The following is a 21,156-nucleotide window of genomic DNA, read 5'->3' as shown; positions in this document are numbered from 1 at the left end:
GCAGACACCATGCCCCTGGGGAGGCAAAGAAAGAGTGGAGGTTCTGAAATGAAGACACTCAGCCCTGAGCCTGGCATCATCTAGGAGCTCACCCAGGGAGCACCAGCCAGAAAGAGGGACAGAAAATTCGCCCTAAACCTCAGAGCTGGTGCCGAAATGTGGCTGAGTCCTGGGTGGGCCAGTGACCTCAAAGACAGCAAGTTTAACTCCAAAGCTGAACTTCACGTTGGCCGACACCAGCAGGCTCAGGCCAGAGGCTGGGATGGGACGGGCCCATAGGTCAACCTCAAGAGTTGGAGTCTAAAAGGAGGAAGGCAGGAAGGGCCGTGGGTGTCTGGAAGGAATTACTTAATGCAGTGATTCAGGTTTCCCCTGACCCAGGGATTCTTTGATGTGTAACCCATGACCTCCAGGGCTTCTAATTTCTGTATGAAGATCTCACAGCCTCCAAGGGCACGTCACAGCAAGAGGCCCTGGGGTTAATGGCCAGTGCAGACACGGACACAAGGTCATGGACCCATGGGCCCACTGCTTTCATATGCCATGGTCGTCTAGTCATGTGACACTGTGCTCCATGGTGCATTCCTTGATTAGAGCTGGAGAAGCACCCAGTGACAGGCACCAGGCTTTCAAGATGGCAAAGGGAGTCCTGCCTCCCAGCCTAGACAGGGAGGCAGCCCACAAGCACACAATTACAAAAATAATCCAGGATTTGTGCACCAGGTTTCCTCTATTGACCCAAGAGGCCTAATTTCTCACACCACTCTCCCTGCTTCCCCTCCCTGGTGTGGCCAGGGATCCAGGTCCCGGTTTCATTAACCCCACCCTGTAACTTTCTTGTGTTGTACACAGCACCCAGCAGAGTGCTGAACATGTCAATTAAAGCTTGGTGGGTTGCCAAAATTTAAAACTTTCTGCATCAAAGGACACTATTAACAGAGTGACAAAGCAGCCCACTGAATGGGAGAGAATGTTTTCAAATCATATATCTGATAGGGATTGATATCCAGAATATATGAAGAATTCCTACGGCTCAAGAACAAGAAAAACAACCTCAATTTAAAACTAGGCAAAGGACCTGAGTGAGTGTTTATCCAAGGAAGAAATACAAATGGACAATAAGCATACAAAAGGGTGCTCAACACCCTTAATCATTAGAGAAATGCAAGGCAAAACAACAATGAATTACCACCGCACACTCATTGTGATGACTATTATCAATTAAAAACACAGAAAATAGCAAGTGCTGGCAAGGCTGTGGAGAAACTGGAAAACATTTCTTTTGTACTACTGTGGGATTATAAAATGGTGCAGTGTGGAAAACAGTATGCCTATTCCCCAAAAAATTAAAAATGAGATGACTATATGACCCAGCAATTCCGCTCCTAGGTATATGCACACAAGAAGTAAAGCAGAAACTCCAACAGATATTGATACACCCATGTTCACAGCAGCCAATAAGCAGAAGCAACCCAAGTGTCCATCAGTGGATGAATAGATAAATAAAATGTGGTCTATATTCTTTTCTTCCTTAAAAATAAAGAAAATTTTGATACATGCCACAATATGGATGGATCTCAAAGCCATGTTGCTAAATATGCCAGTCACAAAAGGACAAATAATGTATGATTCCTGTTACAGGAGGTACCTAAAATAGTCAAATTCATAGAGACAGAAAGTCGAATGGTGGGTTCTAAGGGCTGGGGGAGGGAGAATAGGTACAGAGTGGGGAGGAAGATGAAATGGGTACAGAATGGGAAGATGAAAATGTTCTGGAGATAAATGGTGGTGACGCTGGCTCAATAATATGTATGTGCTAATGCCACTGAACTGGACACTTAAAAATGATTAAAATGGCAAATTTTGAGTTACGTGTATTTTACTACAATTTTCAAAAATTTTGGTGGGTTAAATTCAAGTAACGAATGTAAGAACAGTTTTGCTTTTGTACCAAGAAACAAAAGGAGTCACTAATCCATCCAAGGGTAATTGCTGTGTTTACGATCTCTGTTTCCCTCCCTCTTCTTTGCTGGGCTTTGTAGCATGTTGTTAAGGAGGTCTCTGATATTCCTTTGTTCCATGAACCAATTACCAGTGTTCACAGGAGAAAAGAAGCCCAGCTGCTATGATACCGCCTTAAGATGGACAGAGGGCTTCTAACATCAAAAGTGATGCCTAGTATTCTTGGCAGTGTTTATTTACTAACCTGCCTTGATGGTCCTGAGTCCCTGAATGGCAGCCCCAAACACCCACGTGTCTGGATAGTCCCACACTGGGGCAGAGTACTGTGAGCCTAATATTTACCTGTGAACCACATGGGTCAAGTTTCTCTTGCTTTTTTAAGTGCAAAACTGTTATAAAACTGGTCTTAGTCTTTTCATAAGACACACATTGAATAGAAAAGTTGACTAATTTTTTATTTCAAAACCTGGTTTATTCTATGCTAGGGTGGTCCTCATCACTCCGTTCTCTGATCCTGTTTATCAAGTTTTGCCTTTAAATGCCCTTCAAAGACTATTTATGGGAGTGGGTTTAAGGCTTTGAAGATTGTTTGTTCTTTCAAGAGATAGACACATTTAAAACCCCTGTCACTGGACCCAACTGATGTGGTCACATGGCTCAGTCCAGGGAGGGTGGGATTTGTCCAGCTAAATGGGAAATATGACAGAGATTAAACTCACTGTAAACAAGAGGGATTAAGAGCCCAGAGCTGGGGGGCAGGGTGGGATCAAATGGCTTTGGTTGTCAGAGAATAAAGGCTCCTCAGGAAGTTAAAGAAATGCCTTTGCAGAGCCCAGTGCTGTCATCTTAGGCTATGCTCATAAAATCAGCCATCATGTACTTAATGGAACCATAAAACAGACAAAGGGCACAGGCAAGAGCGTCTGCACTTCCAAAGCCAGAAAGAGCCAACGTTGAGGGCCAGCTCAGCCAACATCTCTAGACGCTTTAAGCTGGACACTCAATGAGCTGCCTGTCACTTTTTGGCAATAAAGGCCCACTAGAGAGTATGTGCAGCATCATGATCACTTCTGGAACTGGCTCTCAAGCACCTGAGGGTGTTTTTCTGGAAAGAAAACTTTAGGAAGAGGGTCTTTCCCAGTTGATTTTCTCAGCATGCATCTTCAATCACATACTAGCAGGTACAGATGTACCCACTACCACAATCTCTCCAGCACGAGGCTTTTTCATGGTGGGGTTAGGAGGTTGCAGGTACAGAGAGAGGGTCTGCACACAGCCAGCTGAGGGCTACACCTTGTAGGGCCAGGTATCTAGATCCTATGGCTGTGTGCAGAGAGTTCAGCCCAGGCCTGAGACCTCTCTGCCTAGCTGGCCAGGAAGCTTGTGGTCTCCTGTCTCCTTTTGAAAATAACAAAGACCAAAACAAACAAACAAACAAAACAGAGAACACCTCCACTAACACCTGGGTGCATAAACTTGCCAGTTTCAACATGAACAGGGAAAAGGAAACTGGCAAGTTTATGCACGAAGGCATCCCACGCCTTTGCTCCAGCTTTGTGCCTGGGAGCTGCTATGGCAGGGATGGCAAGGGAAAAGGTGCAGGAGTAAGGGAGATGGGCCAAGCCCTGGGAATTGGCTCTTGTGACTTGGAGGGCAGAGTCACTTAGCAACATAACCCTGGAGGTAAGAGCAGGCATTTTTTATGGATTTCCTAGCCTCATTGCAGAGGGAAATGGAGAAGCAGAGAAGGAAAGCAGAGGCTTAAGGTGTCTGAAAGGCACCTGTCAGGAACATCTGGAGGTCCCTGAACAAGGTCTGGAATAATCTGGGAGATCGCATGGGAAAGGGGTGCCGATATGACCAACATCAACCATCCCCACCTTTCCAACATCACAGATGGACACGTACACACACTGCAGCATCTGTTGCTTGCTGCAATTCACTCAGCAACCCTAAATTCGAACAATTCAAAGCAACCCCGAAGTCCCTAAACTGGGGAATAGATAGCTGTTATGTTGCAGCCACTCAGCTGTTATGTTGCTCGAGCTTTTGGGTTGAGCAGGGCATGTGCCACCTGAGTATCTGACATCCAGGGGCACAGGAATTGCACAGCAAAAGTCAGCTCCCTGTAACCTATGTGCCCTAAGTCTGCTACTTCAGATCAGAGAAGGCAAATGGAAGGCTTATGCAGTTAAAGGGAAAACTCTGCCCCTTAAGCACCTTTGCTAGGCCCAAAGCCTGACAAAGTGTGGTCTGTTGTCATCCCGCTTCTGAGAAGACAAATGCTGCACGTGGAAACCATATGTGGTTTGCAAAGAGTCCACCCATGTTATTTATTGTACATGATAGATGCTAGGACACTGCATCTGAAATTTAAGAAGAAACACCAATGACCACATCGCTAAATTCATATTTTCTAAAGAAGGGTGCACGAGGCACACACATTTTCCAACACCATTAGGAGCTCCGGGGCTGCCGCTAGTGGAGTGATTTGTGCAGCCTGCCTGGGCTGTCATCTCACCCAGTGAGTGATGAGACCCAATTTTTCCAACAGAAGGGACAGGCAGAGTAAGACAAAGAACACTATGTAAAATCATTAAAAATCAGAAACTCTTAAAATTATACTCTTTTTTACTGTTAAGCTTTACTGACATGCATATGAAAATTTAGAAAAATTGATGGAGTTTTAGGTGCTCTGATGCATAAAAATCAGCTGATTGTGTCAGGATACACTTAGCAAATGGGATTCACATGCTGGCTTTCATTTGCTTTATTCTGTGAAAAATGCACACGAAAATTTTCTATCACCTGCTCCCTGTGAAATTAAGGCTTTTCTCTTAAAAATGTGGCCAAGAACTTGGGAATCTTGTCCTTGTGGGAACAGTGCACAACCACATCCAGAAGGCAGCAAACCACTTTGCTGAATTTTCTTTACAAATGTCCAGTGAGGTAAACTGTTTTCAATGTGTTTCTCAAGACTTACAAGTACTGTATTCTATTTACTGCAGATATTCGAAACACATGGAAAGCAAGAAGAAAGATAGTTAAGGGGCAAAAAAATTAAATCTCCTGACGCAAAACAAACCTTTATTCGCTTATTCCCAAATTGAAACCACAGTTATGTTTAGAAGATGAAAAAGAAAAGAATAAACTTTGCCATCTCTGTGGCGTCTCCTAGTTAGAATTGCCGTGATATTGATGAGGGGCTCACTTTGCTGAGGCATGTGAGGCCCTGAGGGTGTGAAATGTGAGGAGGTGCTGCCTTGTGGGCTCTGCACATTGGCACCTACCCACCACAATGTCAGCATGAACCCAGGGAGCACAGGGACAATGCCAGGTGTCCTGGGGACAGTCGGCAGCATCCCAGTGACTTCCCCTCATACTCTTGGGGCCAGAAGGGAGGGAAGACCTTAAAGGGACAAATGGGGCCTGCCCTTCCAATCCTACATCTGAACCCTTATATGATTATGATTTAAAAAAATATGAAACGCATCCTCCCCTGCTTTTATCTCAGGCCTCCAGGATGTTGGGGAGCTACAGTGATGGGGGTTTTGTGGAGTCATCATCCTATGTCTCAGCAGGTGACGTCATTAGGCAGGGACCCAGCCATCCCGGAATCCAGGATTCTGGTCAACTTTATTGCTACTGCCCAGGGCAGTCACTCATCACTCTCTGTCTCCACGAAAGTTGCTCCACCCCTGACAACAAGCCTCTTCTCCATAAATCACCAATCCACCACACCCTCCGTGAATGAAAGGAGTTGAGAGCAGCCACCAGACACCAGTGCCTTCACCAACCCTCCACACATAGGACCCTCACCCACATCATCCTTCCACCCAGGACAGATTTCCACCGTCTCTAAAGCCGGCCTCTCTCTCTGGATCCTGGATTCCATCTCTTCCCAACACTCCAGGCTGGAATTCATTCCTACAAATGTTTCACCAACCACTACCACTGCCAATATGCCTTCAAACACACACTTCACACCAGCAATTTATCTTTTATTCAAACTCATATTCCAAAATATGATAAAAGTAATGCATGGACATGGTAAAAATATTTCACTCAGTACAGGAAGATGTTAAATGAAGAGAAAAAGTTATTCCTCCATTCCCCCTGCTCCCCACCCCACAGTGCAGAGACAACCTCTGTAAGCATTTCCGTTTGAGTTCTTCCTGGGGCTGTCATTACAGCACTGAACAATATACTTACACATCTGTGTCCAAGCTCATCACCCATGCCTGGTAGGCCTTGGCACTTCCTTCTCTTCTGAGAGATGAAAGGCACATTGCAAGTATGCTTCATCCCTCCACCTGCCCTAGATTTTGTTTTGTTTAGCATCTTTAGTGTTTCTCCTATTCACCCTCTGCACCTCTAAATTATATGCTTCAGATAGGAGTTCTCAGCCTTGATTGATAACCTGAGTGACACATGAAGAATTTTTAAAATACAGAGAAAAGTCCTTCCCTCCTCAGACCAGCTAAACATCCCTGGCATCTGTAGTGAAGGTTTTACATCATAGAGATGATTCTGATGAGCAGCCAGGGGTGAAAACGATGAAGGGAATTTTTTAAAGTCAAAAGATCAATGTGAAGGGACAATAGGGGCAGGTAAAATCAAGGTGAGAAAAATAAGAGAGAACACAAATCGAGAAAAACAAATGCAGTTTTTAACAAATTAAACACAGACATCATACGATCAACCAATCCCACTGCTCAATATTCACCCACAAGAAATGAAAACATACGTCCTTGCAAAAACCTACACACAAATGCTCATAACAACTGTAGTCATAATTGTCAAAAATTCAAAACAACCCTAAAGTCCCTAAACTGGGGAATAGATAAGCAAACTGTGATATAACCACACAGTGCCACACTACTCAGCAGTAAAGAGGAATTAACTGCTGATACGTGCAAAATCATCAATGAATCTCAAAAGCATTAGGCACAGTGAAAGAAGCCAGACCCAACAGAACACAGACTGCCTGATTCCATCTCTGTGACATCCTGGAAAAGGCAAGTGTGTAGGTCCAGAAAGCACATCCATGATTGTCAGTGGCTGGGAATATGGAGGGGAGTTGACTGTGAAGGAACGTGGTAGGGTAGATGCCACATTCTGCCCATTGACCGTGTTGTGCTGTGCTTTTCATTAAGGTTTCAAAAATGTTCAGAACAAGGTGGGTTGTCCTCTATACAGTGGACATGTAGATGTGTTCCTGGTTTTGTAGACAATATACTGTAAGTATCCTCACTAATGCTAGGTATGGATTTTGGGTAGATACTAATTATCACACAAGGGAAGTATTTTTCTATTCAATTTACCATAAGCTTTGGAAATAATTACATTTCCAGCTTTACCAAAAGCCTTCTTGCCATTACTTAGGATAATCATATGGCTTTTCTCCTTAGCTTCTAAACTAGGTGAGTTCTATGAATAGATCACTTGATGTGGAATTAACTGTACCTTCCCAGAGTAAAACCACAATTTTAATATATTATAAATAAAATATATTAACTATATTTTGTTCCTTTGTCATGCTGAGTCTTCTGTAGTTGTGGCCTACAAATTTTATTCTGTTTTAAAATCATTTAATAAATGAGATTTTTTTCTAGGCTTTATTTTCTCAGGTATGGATATCAGAATTGAACTTGTAATATCACTTTTCTTACACCTTAACAACACATTTTTTCTTTTAAGTTGCATCTTACTCATATTTCAAAATTAAGTAATTTTTCCTACTTCATAATTAATGTATATTTATTCAAGAAAGAAATTTGAAGTGCCGATGAGCAAAAAATACAATAAAAATTATTGTCCCCTTTTCCCAGTTGACATGATGACACTCATTTGGAGTAATCACAGCCAACTCTTCTTCTCTCTCTCCCTCTCTCCTTCCCCTCCTTCCTTCCTTCCTTTCTTCCTTCCTTCCATCTTTCCCTCCTTCCTTCCTTCCTTGCTTCCTTCCTACCTTCCTTCCATCTTTCCCTCCTTCCTTCCTTCTTCCCATCCTTCCTTCCTTCTTTCTTTCCTTCCTGCCCTCCTTCCAGCCTTCCTTCTTCCCTTCCTTCTTTCTTTTCTTTTCTTCCTTCCTTCCTCCCTCCTCTCCCTCCCTCCCTCCCTCCTTCCTTCCTTCCCTCCTTCTTTCCTTTATTCCTTCCTTCCCTCCTTCTTTCCTTTATTCCTTCCTTCCTCCCTCCTTCCCTTTCTTCCTTCCTCCTTCCTGAAACTTTCATGGGAACAGCCACCAGATAGAGTCAAGAGAGGTGGAACCCCAATAGCGGTGGAGTCAAGAGAGGCGGGATCCCAGGCTGTGTGTGAGAAAGAGCAGTGGTGGTGATGGCAGTGCCACTCATCCTGGGGCTACAGCTGGAGCTGGGTGAGGAGTCAAACCAGGAGGGGAATGGGGCAGCCAGGCACGGAATCAAGGGACTGGTTACATAAGTAGAAGAATACAAGCAAACTTATTGATGAGAATAGGATAATGGAGTTACAAATATGGGAAAGCAGTCCAGGCCGACCATGCAGTGTTGAATTGGAATTGAAGTATCATCATGAACTCACATACATGTTGGATCTAGCTCTGCCCACTAACGGGACATAACAGCAGCTACACCATGATGGCCATGAACACTTTTAGCACCCAAATGGTGGTGTCTAATTACTGTTCTCTACTGAAACGAACCACAGCCACTTGGAGAAATGACTGACTTCAGGACTGGTAATCTCATCTAGAAGCCAGGTAGAAAGCGCTTTTGCAGGCCAAATACAGAACAAGTTGAGCATTAAAATAAGTAATGATACAGTAAATTATGACCCACTGAATGAAATAGAATGATGAATAAATAAATAGGGAAAATAAAACATTTTTTCTTAGACTCTAAAGACAACTAATAAGCGTGGAAGGTATGGTAGAAGTAGAAAATCACAATTTTTGTCAACTGACATAGTAATGATTAATTCATTTCCCCAAATCAGTGGGTGCTAAAACTAGTAGGCAAAAAGTTCAGCCTGGGCACAATGGCTCACACTTGTAATCCCAGCATATTGGGAGGCAGAGGTGGGCGGATGGCTTGAGCCCAGGCTTTAGAGACTAGCCAGGGCAACATCATGAGACCTCCATCTCTACAAAAAAAGGCAAAAAATTAGCCTGGTGTGGTGATGCATGCCCGTAATCCCACCTTCCTGGAAGGCTGAGGCAGGAGGATCACCCGAGCCCAGGAGGACAAGACTACGGTGAGCTGAGATCACACCACTGCGCTCCAGCCTGGGAGACAGAGTGAGACCCTGTCTCAAAAAAAAAAAAAAGTATTTGAAGAGGGAGAGTATATTTACATATATCCTCCCAAAATACTTATCAATTACAAATGGAAATAAATTAGAGAAGGTTGGCACACACCAGCTTAACCAAGGGATCAATGTCAACACCACCAATAATTGGATGAATTGAAATCATTGGGCACCTGGTGGGATGAACTGAGGAGAGCCCAGCATTGCAGCTATGATCTTCTGCCAAATATGAATGATGGAATCTAATCATGAAGAAGCATCACACAAACCAAAACTAAGGGCCACATCACATCATAACTATCCTGCAACCGCCACAGGTGTCAAGTTCATGAAAGTCAAGGAAAGGTTAGGAAGTTGTTCTGGAATTAAACTAAAAGAGAGGACAAATGTAACCCATAATCCTAGGTGGAATCATTTTGATCTAAAGGACATTATTGGGACAACTGGTAAAACTTTAAAGAAATACAGGAATCAAAGAATAGTAATGTATCAACTTTAATTTCCTGACTTCGGTGGCTGTGCTATGGTTGTACAGGACAATGGCCTTGTTTGCAGAAAAAACATAGTAAAGTACTAATGGGTGATAGGGCACATGGCGCAACATCCTCTCCAATGGTTCAGGGACAAAGTTCCAAGTGCTGTTCTTGTAACTTCTCTGTCTGGTTAAAATTATTTCAAAATAAAGTGTAAAAGAATAAGCTCTAATTATTGTAAACATTCAACAATATGTATCCAAAAACTCAAAATCCATATATCTTTTGACCCAGAAATGCCACCATGAAAGATATATCCTGAGGATATAATCACAAACGTCTTCAAAGATTTAGCTTTAAACTGTTCATCCGGAGTTATTTATAGGTTAAAAAAAATGAGAACCAACCTACACACACTGTAGTAGGATTTGGGGACATAAATTATGATATAACAATGAAATGGAATACTCATATAGCTATTAAGGAAGATGTTTGAGAAAAATATTTAATGGCTTGGAAAAATGTTTATGTTATATATTGAGTGGAGAAAGCAGATTTGACAACAGTATATCCAATGTGTCCCACTATTGAAACAGCAGAAAAACAAGCATCGTGTGTGTGTGTGTGTGTGTGTGAAAGAGAGAGAGCAAGAGAGAGAGGTGGAAAGCAAGTAAAGTAGATTCTTTACTACAAAGAAGCCCAGAGCCCTTAGCATGCCAGTGTGCACAGCAAATCTCCAAAGTTGGGATAGGTAAGCAGTATTTCCCAAATGTATTTGACCTTAGAGCATTTTCGGCTTCAGAACCTCTGAGCCCAGTCTGGGCTTGTCTCTAGAAATTCCTGGGACTTTGAGTGCTCACTTTTCTTCCTCTTAGTACCCTTTCATTTGCTCTCACTTCAATTTCCTTATTTATCCTACTTTTTCCTATTATGGTATTCTGCTATATGTGTGTATCTTTGTAAGTTAACTCATATTACTTTTCAAACACAATGCATAGGATTATAAATAATAATTAGCAACAAGAATTAGACCATCCTGGGGAAGGTCCAGGCAGCCTTGGGAAAGCTTTGAGGAGGGAGATGAGCTGGGGATGTCTTTTTATTTCATTTGGGCACCATCCTTCAGACCAAGAGCTCCCTCCAAGTTCCTGAGGGAGGTGAGGGTTAGGTGGGGCTCTACTCCTCCCAATGCCCCCTCCACTACCATCCAAAATTCTATATTTTGGTTTGAAAGGTTTCTTACTCAATTCTAACTTGAAAAGGCATGAAAACCACAGACAAGAAGTGTGACCTTGGCCCTATGTTACCTGGGCCCTGTGTCTGGCATGGCCAATAGAAGGGGCTGCTGAGTGACCATCAGTCCAGAAACGGGCTAAAGAGTGGATAAACATATTGTAGGATATCCATAAAATGGAATCCTATTCAGTAACAAAAAGAAAAGCCTGATATATGCAACAACATGGATTAATTGAAAAAACAATTATACTGAGCAAAAAAAAAAAAAAGCCAGACACAAAATACTATATATTGTATAATTTCATTCCTAAGAAGTTCTAGAAAAGCAAAAACTATTCTATGGTAAAAGAAATCAGAACTGTGGTTGTCATTGGGTGATGGGTGGGGACTGACTAGGGAGGAGCACAAGAAATGTTTCTGCAGTGCTGGACTTGTTCCATCTTGAGAGGAATGTGGGTTACATAGGCAGGTGCAATAGTCACCAGTCATCGAACCACACACTTGCGATCTGTGCATTTCACTGTATATCAATTAATCAATTATACCTCAATTTAAAAAAACAACTGGAGAGCCCGGGCACAGTGGCTCACGCCTGTAATCCCAGCACTTTGGGAGGCCAAGGCGGGTGGATCACAAGGTCAGGAGTTCAAGACCAGTCTGGCCAACATAGTGAAACCCCGTCTCTACTAAAAATACAAAAATTAGCCAGATGTGGTGGCAGGCACCTGTAGTCCTAGCTACTCAGGAGGCTGAGGCAGGAGAATCGCTTGAACCCAGGAGGCGGAGGTTGCAGTGAGCCAAGATCATGCCATTGCTCTCTAGCCTGGGCAACAGAGCGAGACTCTGTCTCAAAAAAAAAAAAAAAACTGGAGACACAATAATTTTTCTATTGATCTTTCAGTCCACTTATTTTTTTCTCTGTTTAATGGGATCTGCTCTTTATCCCATCCAGAAAATGTTTTATTACAATTATTACATTTTCCAGTTTTTCATTCTAAGAGTTCCACTTAGTTCTTTTTTATTGTTTTCATGGCTGATGAGATTTTTCTCTTCTTTGCCAGTTACACTCATATTTTCCTGAGCTTCTTTAACATATTTACTATAGGTATGTTAAAGTCTTTGGTAATTCCAGTATGTGGATCATCAGTGGGCCTGTTTCCATTGCAGATTTTACTCTTGACTGTGGATCATATTCTCCTGCTTCTCCCATGCCTTACCATTAAAAAAATTGTATGTTGGACACTGTGTCTAGAAAGTAAAGGCTGAAACACACACACATGTATGAAATTCACCATCAGACGGAATGTCCTTTCTTTTATTACATATCTCAGGTGAGGAGCTGATTAGTTAAACTCCTTGTGTTTAAACATTAAGGCCCTACAAAGGCATAAAAGCCTTTTAAGGCCTCCTAAAGGAATACAATCAACTCAACTCCAACTGGATCAAGGAGATCTCTCTTTGCTTTTCAGCTTAGCCTCCAACTTCCTCAACTCCCACTAGACTGGTATCTTTGATTTCATCTGAAGTTGAATTGGGTGGAAACCTGCTTGCAGCTTTGCTTAGTTGCAGCCTCTCTCTCAAGAAAGGCTCTGGGCTTAAACTCCTCAATATTGCAAGATCTCAAAATGATAAACCTTGAGGCTGTGAAATCTCAAGACTGTTAGATGGAAGAACAGCCAGTCACATGACTTTGCTATCCCCAACCCCTGATAACTCAGAGGAATTCCCATAGGAGAGAGGCAGACAGAACCCTTAGCACACTGGAGTTCCTCCACAGCCAAACCCACACACAAGCCTGGCTGACTGGCAACATTTGCCTGCTTTCTCCTTGATTTGGCGAAGACTGGCCTCTGCGGGGGGCTTGCTCTTTTCCTTGCTGGGCCTCAACCTCAACAACTGGCCCTTGATCATGCAGGAAGGGCTGGTTCTTCTGGAATTTAGCTTTTTACACATTATGGGTGTCAACAATTTCACAAGAGTGTTTGATTTTGATTTATCTAATGGTTTCTTGTTATTGCAAAAGGAGAGGTCTTATGTTTCCTTCTACAGCTTATTTTCAGGCACAGCTCCCAGGACAGTACCATCCTGTGCCAAGTATTGATCCAAACATATTTTTCTATATTAACTGAATCCCTATAGCAAGTCTCTAAGAAAGATAAGACGCTTGAGCCTCGAACGATGTGGAGGTTAGGGGTACCAACCCCTGAGCAGTTTAAAATTCACACATAACTTTTGACTCCCCCAGAATTTAACTACTAATAGCCTACTGTGGACTGGAAGACTTACCAACAACTTAAAAAATGAGTTAGCACATGGTTTGTATATTATATGTATTGTATACTGTATTCTTACAATAAAGTAAGCTAGAGACAAGAAAATGTTGATAACAAAATCATAAGGATGAGAAAATATATTTACTATTCATTAATTGGAAGTGGATCATCATAAAGGTCTTCCTCCTCATCCTCATGTTGAGGAGGCTGAGTAGGAGGAGAAGGGGTTGGTCTTACAGTCTCTGGGACGGCAAAGGTGGAAGGGGAGTCAGGAGAGAAAGGCAAGCTTGGTGTAAATTTTATTTAAAAATATCTGTGTGTAAGTGGACCCTTGCAGTTCAAACCTTGCAGTTCAGTGTTGTTCAAGGGCCGACTGTGTTATGCGCACTCTAAATATGAACGCACAGAAGCCGAGAGAGTCAAGTGGCTCTGGCAGGGTCCAGGTAGTAAGTGGAGGAGCTGGCATTCACATCCAAGGCCCCTCCTCTCCTGCCTCCGCTTCCCCCAGTGAGGAATCCAGGCAGCTCTCGCATAGGCCCAGAAGGCTGGATGAGGACAAGGCTAGTTTCAGGAAAACTGAATAGAATGAAAGACCCAGGGGACTCCAAGCATGTTAGGAAAGGACAAAGTTCTATATTGAACAGCAAATTAGTGAACCAAACAGTGAGGAACAAGTGCCAGGGCAAGGCCAGGACGAGATCAGGCAAGAGAGGAGGGTGCACGCACACACTCTCAGGGTTGGGGACATTCAGGATCTGTCCTGTGCCTGGGAAACAGGCCATTCATTCCCTGAGGTCAGAAGGAGTCATGCTCAGTGAGCCGAGTAAGGGACTCACACAGGTGCAGCCTGAAGACAAGTGGCCACAGCTGGCAGAGGCTCTAGTCGACTGTGGAGCATCTCCTCCCAAGGCAGATGCCATGTTGCAGCAAATAAACAGAGACCAGTGTTCCATGTAATCAAACTGGATAAATCACGGCCCCCAGAGACTCTCTCCCCAAATAGATCCCTCCCTTTTCAATGAGAGAAAGCCTGGCTTAGGCAAAGCCACTGACTTAATGTCTGCCAATGCTTTGATATCCTTGCAGTGGGCACATTCGTAAAGAAACAAGAACTTTGATTTCAAAGATGGGCATATGAGCTATTAGCAGTTAGAATGCATGTGCATTTTTTAAGACAAAATTTTACACTGATGTTTGACCTCAAAACCTGACCCTTCTAAGATAAACAATAGGGTGAAAATTCATTGTTTTCCTTCACCAGTGCATGAGAGAAAGAGGGCATGGAGTCATTGCTGGCAAACGTTTGAAAGAGCCTGTCTAATTAATCCAATGCCCTCTCCCCCTGACTGATGGATTAAGAGGAAGTGACAGATGTCATCTGTGTTGACTTCAGCAGAGCTTTTGATTCTGTTCCACATGATTTACTCATCAACCCAAAATAAACAGGCCTCTGCCTCACAGCTCAGAGGTGGGCATGAGAAGCTGGGCGCCTTGGCATTTTGGAGTCTTATGAGTGGGTTCTCTCTCCGTGGGGGGGTCCCAGGAAAGGCTGTCTCACAGACCAGGTGACATCAAAGGGAAGTCTTGAAGAGTAAGCAGGAGAGAGGAAACAGGGTTCTCTGGAGAAGAGCTGGCTGGAGATGTCATTCCCTGGGGACGGAGAAAGCACATATCCTGCTTCAGTCTGAGCATGGAAACCACTTTGGGATAGGGCTCAGCCCAGATGCCAAGCCTGGGTCTGAAGGACAGTGAGGCCGAATGGGAATTAAGTACTGCAGGGACCCAAGGACTCTGGAGGAGGGGGAGCCCTCAGGTGACTTCGTTACTCCTGTTTAAATCAGTGCCAAAATAAGGGATTTGGGGCGGGGGAAGGAGACGGAGGCACACTCACTGCTTTTTGGATGCCTCATTTTTGCCCAGATCTTTTTACTCCAAGGTGGAAGTAGTCAGTACCAGACAGTGGCCCTCCAAGCCCAAAAGCCCAAAAGCCAATGTGGGGACCAGGAACAGGGTAAAGAGCCCCCAAATCACACTCCAATTCTGCCACTGATGCAAGGGGCTGTGATTCTAGGGACCCAGACAGTGATTCTAGGGACATGAGGTAGGGCCAGTGTGAGCTGTCAGGGGGTATGTTTGATTATTCAGCCCTTAATTCCACCTGTGTCTCCTGGAGTGAGGAGGGCTTTGGGGGCGCTGTTCAGTTTGCTGAGCTTTCCTGCAGGGTCTCAAATGCACCTGTGCAGAGAGTCCAGGCAGGAAAGGAAATGGGTAAAGTAAGCCAAGGAGAAGACAGCAGAGGAGGGGAGGCTGCCATTAATTGGGGAGAGGGAGCCCCCACTAATGTGGTCAGCACCACTTACCTCCAGCAGACTGTGGCCTTACGGGAGAATAACTTGGTCCTGATCATCCACATTTTCAGAAAAATATTCCAAGTTTAAATTTTCTGTGAAGCCTAGCAAATATTAAACATTGACAACTCCTTTCAACTGGATGGCCCACACCAAACCGGTCTGTGAGTCAAGTTCAGCCTAGGGGAGGCCAGCTCCTCACTCCTGGCCCAGGTTTGAGGCGCACGGGTCCTGGGGTTCCCCAGCTCCACCAGCAAGACAAGCTCCTGGTGCCCTCTGCCACACTCAGCCTTAGAAACGGCCAACCCTTGACCCTGGTCACTGAACAACTTCTCAGTGACTTCTGCCTTGGAATCTGAAATAAATGAAAGATTGCACAAAGAAAACAAGAAGAAAATTCAGAGGATTGACCACAGGAAGGGAAAAAACCTAGTTTTTCGACTAGTCCCTGTGTTGACTAGCAACATGTGCACAGAGGAAGCCAACCATAAACTGAAGTTCTGTTGGGCAGACACATCCCTGGCTTTCGGCCCACGACAGGGCTCAGAACTTCTGTCCCGCTGGGCACCCCTATTCCTCCAAATCCTGGAACAGCCCCTTCTCTTCCAACCTTTTTTTGTGTGTGTATTTATAAGGCGGGCATACAGGGTGTTGTTTTGACATACACGATGTAATGGCTACTACAGTCAAGCAAATTAGCGTATTCATCACCTCGCATAATTACCGCTTTTCACGGTAAGGGCGCCTAAAATTTCTTCTCTTAGCAACTTAGACGGAGATTTAAAATCTTACCATCTGAAGTCAGCTCCCCCCAATTTTTTTTTTTTTTTTGCCCCAACAGTGCTTTTAAAAATGTGAACAAATGCTAGTATTTAAAAACTGGTAAACTACACATAGAAATCCAGATTCTCTTGAAAACTCCAAAGGCCCAGATCCCACACCCCGGCCCTCCCTGCCCCAGGGCAAAGACACCAGAGCTGAGTGGTCACCTCTTTCCTTGGCAGAGGTCCTGGCCTTTCCACTTTACCCAGCCCCTACCTGGGCTGCTTCGCTGCATGCAGGGAGGGCAGGGGTGAAGAACTCAGACTGCCCAAGCCAGGTTGCAGAATCTCTTTGTGCCTCGGTTGATCTCTCTGTAAAATGGGAGTGATGGCATATCACCTCATATGACTGCAGGGTGAGTCGATGAGGTAACGCAGGTGAAGTGATTAGAGCAGGACCCAGGACACAGGAACACAGGGCGGGGGTGGGGCGCCGTCGGTGTATACCATGTGTGGCCTGCATTAGCATCAGGCAAACCCCTCTTTAAAATATGAGAGGCTTGAGGCTCTGTGCTGGCTTTCTCCTCTGCCTTTGTAAGCTCTCCTCCAGACTTGTCCAAGGCTAGATTGCTGGAGGCTGGTATTACATCCTCCTGCTAACAACTGTCACATTTGTGTCTCTGGCCAGGCATTCCCCCTGAGCACCCAGGTTTCTCCTGGTGCTCAGGACAGAGAACTTCTCTGACTTCTCTGATACCTCTTCCAGCATAGCCGCCAACATGCTTGACATCTCCCGTGGGTGGAGCTACAGTCAGAATGTTTGTTTCCCCCCAAAATTCATACATTAAAACCTAACCCTCAAAGTGATGGTATTAGGAGTGGGGTCTTTGGGAGGTGAGTAGATCGTGAGAGCAGAGCCTCATGAATGAGATTAGTGTCCTTATCAAAGAGGCCCAAGAGAATTCCCTCACCCCTTCTACCATTTGAAGACACAGCAAGAAGGTGCCATCTATAAACCGGAAAGCAGGCAGGCCCTCGCCAGACACCAATCCTGCCACCACCTTAATCTTGGATTTTCCAGCCTCCAGAACCATATGAAATAAATTTCTGTTGTTTATAAGCCACTGAGTGTTAGGTATTCTTTACAGTAGTATGCATGGGCTAAGACGGAGGACTGAAAGGCACATCAGACAGAACTCTGAGTAAGTCTTGCCTCATCCCTTTCCCAGTCCTTCTTCCTTTCTCCTGATCCCTTTCAGAGCATCTGACTCCTCCATTGCCAAGTCTACAAGCTGGTCAGCCGGTTCATTACCAAGTCCTGTCCACTGGACCTCTCAATACACCTGCCCTCTGAAGCCTCACCTTCATGACTCACCTGGATCCAGCTTCTGCCTGCTGTCTTTTCCTCCAACTCCAGACCACGCCAATCTCTACACAGTGTCCCAACTGACCCTTGAAAAAGCCAATCTAATATGGGATAAGTCTAGACCAAAGGCCTGGGTTTCCCGTTGCTTTTAGGATGAGGAGTCATGTCCTTGCCTGGTCTTCAGCCCCTGTGTGCCTTAGCTCCACCTACATCTCTCTGTGCTCACTGTGAGGACTCAGGGTCTCCCTCCACCTGATTTGAGGACTCAGGGTCTCTCTCCACCCAGCGTGGGGACTCAGGGTCTCTCTCCACCCAGTGTGGGGACTCTGCTTCTCTCTGCCCAGTGTGGGGACTCAGGGTCTCTCTCCACCCAGTGTGGGGACTCTGCTTCTCTCTGCCCAGTGTGGGGACTCAGGGCCTCTCTCCACCCATTGTGGGGACTCAGGGTCTCTCTCCACCCAGTGTGAGGACTCTGGGTCTCTCTCCACCCAGTGTAGGGGCTCAGGGCCTCTCTCCACCCAGCATGGGGACTCAGGGCCTCTCTCCGCCCAGTGTGGGGACTCAGGGTCTCTCTCTGCCCAATGTGGGGACTCAGCCTCTCTTTGCTCAGCGTGGGGACTCAGGGTCTCTCTCCGCCCAGTGTGGGGACTCAGGGCCTCTCTCCGCCCAGTGTGGGAACTCAGGGTCTCTCTCCACCCAGTGTGAGGACTCAGGGTCTCTCTCTGCCCAGTGGGGGGACTCGGCCTCTCTCTGCTCAGTGTGGAGACTCAGGGTCTCTCTCCGCCCAGTGCGGGGACTCAGGGTCTCTCTCCACCCATTGTGAGGACTCGGCCTCTCTCTGCTCAGTGTGGGGACTCAGGGTCTCTCTCCACCCAGTATGAGGTCTCAGGGTCTCTCTCTGCTCAGTGTGGAGACTCAGGGTCTCTCTCCGCCCAGTGTGAGGTCTCAGGGTCCTTGCATGAGCTCTTTCCTCTCCTGGGAATTCCTTTTGCTTCCGGGCTGACACCAGTGATCCTGGAGGTCTCCATGTGAATGTCCCTTCCTCAGGAATCCTTTCCTGGCCATTATTCCTCAGCAAGCACACTTTCCTCTCCTCAAAACTCTTCCCACAATTGTAACCAAACACCGACTTGTGTGAAGCAGGTGATTTGTCTTCCTGCTGCACTGTGAGTGCCACGGGGGCCTGGAGCACGTCTCCCTGTGTGTCACCAAACCACCAGTGCCTGACTCAGAAAAAGCAGCTCAGAAATATCAGGGGAATTGAATAATTCATCCAAATATCAAATTTCAAAAGCATGGTGCAGAAAAATATCAGTGGCTTTCATCAACCACACACTAAAACATTAGATGGGTCTAGATGCAGGCATAGTTACAAATGTGGCGTCCCCACGGAGGCATGGCCCCGTCACCCTGGGCACCAGCCAGGCCACACCCTGAGTATTCTAGTTGTACCATTCTTCTTTAAAAAGATACTGGTTGAAATACATGTGGACTGGGACATGCTCTCCCTTCTGGAGGGTAAGGTAGCCCACATCTTACTTAATGCAAAGCGCTGCTATTTCCACTAAAGTTTTCAGGAGCCTAGTTCTAGTTACCTTCATACAATGCCTGGCCCACTGTAGGTGTTCCCTGAAAGTCCAGGCAGCAGGCCAGCTGCAGCGTGAGCAGCTGCAGGGAGGGAGCCTCAGGGCTGTCCCTGAAGGAGCCAGCCCAGCCTGGCCACCTCCAAAGCCCGCATGCTTCAGGGGAACATGAGGCGCTCAGCCCTCCTCTGGCTCAATTCAGGCAAAACAGGAGAAAACGCATATAACGTTAGCCTGGGGGACCTGTCAAAATGCTTTCCAGCCTTAAGCTTCTGCGATTTTAAAATTGTCTTGGGCTAAATGGTCAGGACTCAAAGGAGGGATTGGGAGGGTTGGGGGATGCTTACAGTCGGGACCCAGCCCGTCCTGGAATTGGACATAAAACAGCCAATTGAAGGAAAAGAATTGGGAGGCCCTGCTGGGATTCAGTCATAAGAGGAAATGAAACCAAGGGAAATTATTTAATACCGGTATTTCCTAATCATAACTTTTTGCTTCTTTGAACCGCCCTATGGGCCAATCTCATTGCAATCTTGCATTGAAGGAGGAAGAGGGTGGAGGAGAGGCGGTTGCTGCGGCATTTGGCTCTGCCTCAGGGTGACACTTCCGAAGGAGGTCCCCACCAAGCCCTGTGTCCAGAGCTGGGAGCGTTCTGAAAGGTAAACCCAAGGTCAGAGAATGACTCCCCAGTGCAGAAGAGAAGACGGATGACTCCTGCAGTACCTGAGACACCACCTCCTGAGCCAGCCACTTCCTGCTGGGGGCCTGAAAAAGACAGAACCAAGACATGAGGGATCTGGTGGTGTTTCCTGGATGTCTGGGGCTTGGGGATTCTGTGTGCATGGTAGAGAGGGGGTCCCAACTCCCAAACTCCAGCAGCAGTGAGCAGAGCTGCACAGGTTGTCCGAGCAGAAACAGGAGAAAGGAGGTCTGTCCCCATGTGGGGGCCTGCACGTCTCACACCTTCAGTGTGTGGGCTGAGGATGAGGCCTCAGGCTGCAATGAGCATGCTGTCCCCAGACACTAATGTCGGCTTTCCCTTTGCCCAGACCTGGACAGTCACTCAGGTGTGGGGTCAGCGCTGAAGCACCGGCTGTTTCCTAGAAACACAAGCACACCCTCAGGCCTCCCTCCCTCTACAGGAGAATGTAACCAAATATTCCATTTCTCCAGTGGATCTGTGTGCCAAGGGAAACTTAACTGCCACTTGGAGCATAACTGAAGGGGTGACAAATTATTTAGGGGATATTTGGGTTGCAAGGAATATCCTTTTAAAAACAACAAAGTGCCATCTTTTGCTTTTATCATGATGGCACATGGTGGGGGGGAACTACATTTTTATTTGCTTGTTGTTGGGTACAGAGTTGCTTTCACGTTTCTCCTTCTCACACAGGTCCAAGTGCCCAGCCTCCCTCTGTCACCTCCCCATCCCCCTGTCAGAGCACTCAGGCCTGTCCCCAGGGAGTTCTACGGGCTCCCTGCAGGCCCTCTGAGGGGCCTCCCATCCCACGGGACCTGCCTCCATCAGCCTCATACAACTTGCTTTGCCTCTGGCCACTCTGATCCGCGCCCCCACGTTTGCAGCGCTTAATTATGTGTGGACTCCTGTGCTTGCTAGTTCAAAAAAGACCCTGAAAATAATCCAGTTTAACCTCTTCATTTTAGAGATAAAGACACTAAATTAAGTAGGTAAGGAATTTAAGTTCCACTCAGGGTCAACCCAGACATTTAATGGAAGAATAAAAATCAACCCCCTCATCTTCCCATCACTCTCTGCCACACCACGATGGCATCTGACTGTTTCATGTTTATGTCAGATGCACCATTGATTTGATAAGGGGCTTTGACAATACTTTTTAAAATA

This window comes from Homo sapiens, chromosome 2 (genome assembly GCF_000001405.40).
Source record: "Homo sapiens chromosome 2, GRCh38.p14 Primary Assembly".
Lineage (NCBI taxonomy): Eukaryota > Metazoa > Chordata > Mammalia > Primates > Hominidae > Homo > Homo sapiens.
This window is presented reverse-complemented; position numbering follows the sequence as displayed.